Source organism: Homo sapiens, chromosome 4 (assembly GCF_000001405.40).
Source record: "Homo sapiens chromosome 4, GRCh38.p14 Primary Assembly".
NCBI lineage: Eukaryota > Metazoa > Chordata > Mammalia > Primates > Hominidae > Homo > Homo sapiens.
This window is the reverse complement of record NC_000004.12, coordinates 122480826-122488935: the sequence shown is the minus strand read 5'-3', so window position 1 is coordinate 122488935 and position 8110 is coordinate 122480826.

The window sequence follows — 8110 nt, the reverse complement described above, 5'->3', positions numbered from 1 at the left end:
AGATTGTGTGGGTTGGGTAAAATAAAAAGTATTTGTATATGACCAAAGTTAAGTTGTTATCAGCTTAAAATAGTCTGTAATAAACACAAGATTTTTGTTGTTGTTGTTTTTGAGACAGGGTCTTACTCTTTCACCCAGGTTGGAGTTCAGTGGCATGAACATGGCTTACTGCAGTCTCAAACTCCTGGGCTCTATCAATTCTCCTGCCCCAGCCTCCCAAGTAGCTGGGACCACAAATACACACCACTATGTCCAACAAAATTTGTTTTTACTTTTTGTAAAGTTGGGGTCTTGCCATGTTGCCTAGGCTGGTCTCAAACTCCTGGGTCCAAGCAATCCTCCTACCTCAGCCTCCAACAGTGCTAGGATTACAGGTGTGAGCCACTGTGCTCAGCCTAAATACAAGATTTTTAATGTAAGCCCCACAGTAACCAGAAAAAAAAAACCCAGCAGATACACAAGTGAGAAAAAGGAATTAAACTTTATTACTATAGAAAACCTCCAAACCACAAAGATATACAATAATGGAAGAAGAAACAAAAGCTATACAAAACAACCAGAAAACTATTAACAAAATGGCAGAAGTAAGTCTTCACTTATCCATAGTAAACTTAAATGTAAATGAACTAAATTCCCCAATTAAAAAGTATATAATGGCTGAATGGATAACAACAAAAAACAGACCCAAGGTTGGTTCAATATACACAAATCAATAAATGTAATTCATCACATAAACAGAACTAAAGCCAAAACCACATGTTTATCTCAATAGATGCAGAAAAGGCTTTTGATAAAATTCAACATCTCTTCATGTTAAAAACTCTCAATAAACTAGGTATTGAAGAAACATACTTCAAAATAATAAACCATTTATAACAAACCCACAGCAAATATCATAATAAATGGGGAAAAGCTGGAAGAATTCCCCTTGAAAACTGGCACAAGACAAGGATGCCCTCTCTCACCACTCTTATTCAATATAGTACTGGAAGTCCTGGCCAGAGCAATCAGTCAAAAGAAAGAAAGAAAGGCATCCAACTAGGAAGAGAGGAAGTCAAACTATCCCTATTTGCAGACACAGGAATCTGTAACTAGAAAATCATAGTCTTGGCCCAAAAACTCCTTAAGCTGATAAAGAACATCAGCAAAGTTTCAGGATACAAAATCAACATACAGAAATAACTAGCAACATACAAAAATCACAAAAATCAACAGCTAAGACAAGAGCCAAATCAGAAACACAATCCCACTCACAATTGCCACAAAAAGAATAAATACCTAGGAATACAGCTAACCAGGAAGGTGAAAGATCTCTAAAATGAGAATTACAAAATACTGCTCAAAGAAATCAGAGGACATAAACAAATGGAAAAACATTCTATGCTCATGGATAGAAAGAATTAATCATTAAAATGGCCATACTGACCAAAGCAATTTACAGATTCCATGATATTCCTATCAAACTACAAATGACATTCTTCACAGAACTAGAAAAAACTACTTTAAAGTTTGCATGAAACCAAAACACAACCTGAATAGACAGGGAAATCCTAAGCAAAAAGAACAAAGCAGGAGGCATCACCCTACCCAACTTCAAACTATACTACAGGGCTATGGTAACCAAAACAGCATGGTACTGGTATAAAAACAGAGACACAGACCAATGAAACAGAATAGAGAGTGCAGAAATAAGGCCACACACCTACAACCATGTGATCTTCAACAAAGCTGGCAAAAGCAAGCAATGGGGAAATGACTCCCTATTCAATAAATGATACTGGGATAACTGGCTAGCCATATGCAGAAGATTGAAAATGACCCTTCCTTACACGATATACAAAAGTCAACTCAAGATGGTTTAAAGACTTAAATGTAAAACCCCAAACTATGAAAACCCTGGAAGACAATCTAGGCAATATCATTCTGGACATAGAAATGGCAAAGATTTCATGACAAAGACACGAAAAACAATTGCAACAAAAGCAAAAATTGACAAAAGAGATCGAATTAAATTTAAGAGCTTCTGCACAGCACAAAGAAACTATCAACAGAGTAAACAGACAACCTACAGAATGGGAGAAAAATTTTGCAAACAATGCATCTGACAAAGGTCTAATATCCAGCATTTATAAAGAACTTAAACAAATTTACAAGAAAAAAAACAACCCCATTAAAAAGTGGGCAAATGACATGAACAGATACTTTTCAAAAGAAAACATACATGTGGAAAACAAACATATGAAAAAGCTCAATATTACTGATTAGAGAAATGCAAATCAAACCCACCATGAGACACCATCTCACACCAGTCAGAATGGATATTAATTACTAAAAAGTCAAAAAATAACAGATGCTGGTGAGGTTGCAGCAAAAAGGAAACACTTAATACGCTGTTGGTGGGAGGGTAAATTAGTTCAACCATTGTGGAAAGCAGTGTGGTAATTCCTCAAATAGCTAAAGACAGAAGTACCATTCAACCCAGCAATCCCATTATAGGGAGGATCCAAGATCCTGTATAAAAATGGAACCTTAAATTTTGGGGATCTGTTTTTGCCTTTCAGCTGTGTCTGCTTATTGGGCCCTAGTCCTGGCCCTGTTCCTTGAAGGGCTCCACCCTGAAGCCAGGAATCCAGTTAAGAAACTGGCAAACAAAAAATGTCACAACTGCTGAATCTTCTTCTTTCTGTGTATTTTTATGTGTTGTGTGTGATGTTTAGAAAAGCGCTCTGTTTAATTGGCTTAAGAAATAATAAGTGCTTAAACGCTTTGTCAGAAAAATAGAAACTTTAATGCCTTTTAGTTTACATGACTTTAGTAATCCCTGGGAAATAAAGATGGTTTTAAAGATTATTAGTAAAATAAAAATGTCTATAAAATTTAAACATTTGAAAATATTTAGACATTTGACAAATTTAGACATTTAAAGTAAGTCAGAGATTAGATTTGCTAAATGCTTTAATGTCATAAACTGCTTCTTTGACTTTGAGGTAAGGCCTGGGGACATGCGGAGTCAGCCATGCTCCCTAGCTATGCTGGAAAGAGTCAAACTTTATCTGCACTTCTCTCTGGTGTTCTAGGCTCCACACCTGGTACATAAATAGAATTACTTACTTGCCAGATTTTTACCAAAAATATAAGTTGCTAAAAGTAACATTGAAACATGTAATTAAGACTACTGGGGAAACAATTTTACATGCCAGGTGTGTAAGGAAAATAGAATGTGTTTTTGGTAAAAGATTATAAAAAGGCATGGGAATTTGGGTTTTGTCTAGTTTTGAGGATTAAAGGATTGGATTGTTTTAAGTTAGACAGAATATAGCTAAAGGTTTGAGCAAGTTGTGAAAGGTTTGTGAAAGATTAATCTTATAAAAGAAATTCTGTGTGTAAACATATTGGCTAAAGCTAAAAGGGTATTATTTAGTTTTTACATAAGTTGAACATTTCAGCTAAATGAATAATCTGTGATTCTATTTTGTGATATCCAGTGTTTTAAACCTTTAATATTTGTAAAACCTTCTAAGATCAAATTCTAAGTTAAGTTAAAAAAAGAAAAAAATTAGGTCCTTTTAAGTCCAAAAAGGACACATTTCACTTATTTGATGTATTAAAATCATGAAGGGAGCACTGTCAAATATAAAATGCTATTTAATTTTCTTTGGGTTATAGTTATATAAATATGTATTTGTATGTGTTATGAAATTATATAAGATTCCTATAATTTTGATATGTCTCAATATATGTTAGCAAAAACTGTAATTGTTATGTTAATTTGTTGTGTATCACAGAGATGCCAGATTTTCTTGTTGATTGCATCTTTAACTATGGCTGTCCTGAGACTTCTGTCATCCATGGACAATTGTTGTCTTGTTTTGACCCTTTTCAGAATGCAATTTATAATCAGATATAGGACTCTGATGGGTACTCTTGAATGCAGGTCTCTGATAATCTTAGAAATTGTGTTATCGGAATAGAGGAAAAAAAACAAACTTCTAGGACTCTCAAGGAGAACTGATGTGTTAATAATTCTTTTGCTTCTCAGAGTCAAGAAAACTTTTTCCTTTTTATCTATTTAAAACTTTTAGCAATTGAATAAATTATACTCTTGGAAGGAAAATGTGGAGCATATTGCTTTTTCTCTATGTGATTTCTCCCTAATATAAAAACTATTTGTGAGTATTCTCAACTTATGGCAGTATAGTTATTTGCATGAGTACAATAAGAATCTGTTTTCTTTTGTAACAAGGCACAATTGGAGAAACTGGTTATTTTACCAAGTTTTTGACTGGAATGGCATACTTTCTTTAAAGATCAAGGTTGACTTATAGAGCCAGTAAAAGCCCCTTGGGAAAGTTGGCCTCATACTTCGTCTACACATTCCCTGTTCAGGGTTCCTGACTGGTGGTAAGTAAAGAATGTCACTTTCTGACAGGCCCAGGAACCCCAAGTTATCTTGGGGACCTCAAGAGGAGGGAAATGCACCCAACTCATACTGGTATTTGCAGGCAAAGAAAATCCGTGGCTCAGTTTCAAGGCTTTAAAAAGTACAATTTGAGATTCCTTACAGAAGAAAGTTTCAGCAAAGCCAATTTAAAAAAAGAGCCTATATGGCAAAAAATTATTCCTACTGCACTTTATGCAAATAATCAGCTCAAACATAATAAAACTATAACTTATTTTACAAGTAAATTTGTCCTATAATGATGTATCTTTAATAAAAATGGGCACTGGAGGGAGAAAATTATGTTTCAAAAACTATAGTACAACTGTTGTTAGCTATTCTTGAGTTTTTATTATTTTCTACAATTTGAACTAAATCTTAAATTCCTTGTGGGCTACAAGTCCCCAAACTAATGCTTTCAAATCTTTATTTTTAAAACTAGGAATTGCACTCCTTATCCTAGGACTCATTATTTACCCGATAGTACACTGCTTGCTTAAATGCTGTACTAAAACTATAGATGAGAATACTAATGCCTTTATCATACAAGCCTTGGAACCCCAGCCCAGCCCACACTGAGTATTCTAAGACATCTGGGAAAGCAGTTCCACTCTTCTCACCTTGGGGTCATCTCCTATTCCCACTATGTCCCCTGACAGGAAGAAAAAGCCAGAGCAGTGGTCAGCCTTTTCCCATCTTCATAGACCACGTCGTAAGAATAAGGTGTTATAAAACTCAAAGGGAGGGACTGAAACCATCATTGCAAAATCGTAACTAAGGCAGTGAAAGAGATCTGACCTAACCAACTCCATCTTGCTTCTAACCTCCAAGCTGTCCTTGTTCACTCCTGGGTGTAGCCAGAATTAACTTTGGGAGACACTTAGTTTAGTTTATAGTTTGAAACAAACATGTTAACAGCCCTTCCCAAAACAAATCCCCGTCTTTCCTGGGGACTAGACTGCATTTGTAGGACTAACAAATTAGCCACAAGATTAGAAATTATGGTTTAGGAGTCATGCAGCTGGAAGCTACAAGATTCTGACCCTCCCCAAATTGCTCCTGAGGCACTATTGTAAAACCTAAGATCAGTGCTTGAGATATTTTGCAGACTCTGCACTTGATGGACTAGCTTGCACCATCCAGATCGATAAACTGGCTCATCTGATCCTGTGGCCCCCATCCAGGAACTGACTCAATGCAAGAGGACAACTTCGACTTCCTATGATTTCATCTTCAACCCAACCAATTAGCATTCCCGATCCACTGCTCCCGCTACCCAACACACCAAATTATCTTTAAAAACTCCAATCCCCGAATGCTTGGGGAGACTGATTTGAGTAATAATATAACTCTGGGCTCCCGCACAGCCAGCTCTGCGTGAATTACTTTTCCTGTATTGCAATTCCCCTGTCTTGTTAAATCAGCTCTGTCTTAGGCAGTGGGCAAGGTGAACTCGCTGGGTGGTTACAAGAGGAGTAGGGATGAGTAGAAGCAAATGGAGAGACCAAGCACATAATTTTAAAAAAATGGTTTCAGTCAACTGAAAAAAATTCCCCAAACAAAATCCAAAAAGAGAAAAAGCATAAAAGCCTTTTATATATATTTACTCTCTCTCTCTCTCTCTCTCACACACACACACACAATTTGTATATATTTATATAAATATCCTTTTAGGTTTCTTATTATCATATTTTAGCTGGTTCAGACAGCTCTTATTTCTGGCTTTTGAAGTTATTTACCAAAGGTATTCTCCCAAGTGAAAACAATAAGCCTTAACCAAGATTATGACTTAAGCAAGGACGCACAAGGCATCTCTAAAGCGGTTCAAAGTGGTCCTCACAAGATCTAGAACCACCCCAAAGATAGCTCAAATAAAGGAAAGTTTCACTAGCAACAAATATAGTACAACTTACATTTCTGTCCAGCCATATTCTCCAGACTTTCAGTTTCCCAGCTGACTGTCAACACACAAAGGCCCCAAATCCCAGTGTGCTGCCACAGACAGGAAACAAGAAATCAAAATCTGTCCATGGATGGGAAGAGGATCAATAAGTTCCAAAGTCATACAAATATCAAACCAAAAGGGACTGATTCCTGAGGAGAGCAAAGATCACCTGGTGACCATCAAGAGGCCATCGGGAGACAAAACTCATCTGAGGAATTTAGAAATAATTAGACTTCCCTATTATCTAAAGCCAGCATCTGGTTCCAGGCCTCTTTCCAAAACATTTATAAGTAACTAGAATTTCTATAAATCTCCAGAAGGCATGCAAGCCAGAACTCATTGTGCAACCCTTGCTGACATTAAGGCACCAAAATGTCTACAAATGTAATAATTTATTATGACCTACATGGCTAGTATGGTCCAAGTTTCCCTTAAGCTCCCACTTTAATGTTCACAAATGTACCTAAGGAAAATCCATCCGTGCAGTCAGTCCTTTCTTGCTGAGGCTTCCTCCTGCACTCTTCCGCAGCATTCTTTCTCTCTAATAAAACTTTTCTTTTTAAACCTATATTGTTTGTTGTCGGTAAATTCTTTTTACCAACCCATGAGTCAACCACTTTCCAATGCCAGGACTCTGACATCTTGCCCAGCAATTTGCTGATCAGGAGTTTTAACTATTAGAATACAAAATGGAGCAACCTTCATTGTTAATCCTGTGTGGAATCCAAAACTGGCAGTTATGAATGTATGAGAAATCTTAACTATTTTAAGTCAGATTTTTGCTCTGTAATTTAGTCAAGAGAATTTTTCAGACTACTCATAACACTAGTATATGTCATTTAAAAATTTTTGATATTCCCATTGTGCTTAAACATGTAAGGCACTGGAGTCCCTTATGGCCGCTAATCAGAGACTGTCCTCTTAGAACTAAGGTTCTTTATAATTGCACTTACCTTATACAGGTATAAAAGTAGGCCCAAGGAGAAAGCTCACAAATGAGATGACTATATAAGAGGTTTTCCTTTGACTATTATTTGCTCAGCAGGACAGAAACAATAGTCATTCACTTAGCTATTTGATTTTTAAAAAGAGCTCTTTCAGTTCTTCTTAGCCAGAAAACTAGCAATATAGATTAACATAAAGTACAAAGTTATGGAATGGACTCTATGTCACATTAAATGGTAATCGTAATTGTGAAATTCAAACCTTATCTGTCCCAGTATAAATATACATTTCACTTTCTGTTCTTATGATTCAGGGAATTTATACTTTAAATATTATTGAAATTATTTTTATTTCCTAAAAAACAAATTCCAGATTGGGACTATAAGACTGGATTCATGGATTAGGGAAATAACAGTTATTAACTTAAGGCTGAATTGACATTACTGAGAAACACCAATTTTTAAATTGATTACTCAAGTTACATAAGTCAGCAGTTACACACAAGAATGACAGCTACAGAGATACATTTTATTTATGACTTCCTCATTTCTGTGGAATAGTATATTTTCAGGTTGAAATGCTATCTCCATTTCTTCAAAATAGGTAAAGAAATCTTTTATCATCCACTTTTATCTGTGTGTCTTGTAGCATTTTAGCAAGAAAATCACTGTATTAAAAATCTTTTACATTTCTTCAAATATTCATCCCCCTAACCATTCCCCTGGATTTTAGTGTTGCTTGACCATATAAATTGGGCTTAAAATTAGTATCCAAGTCATAAA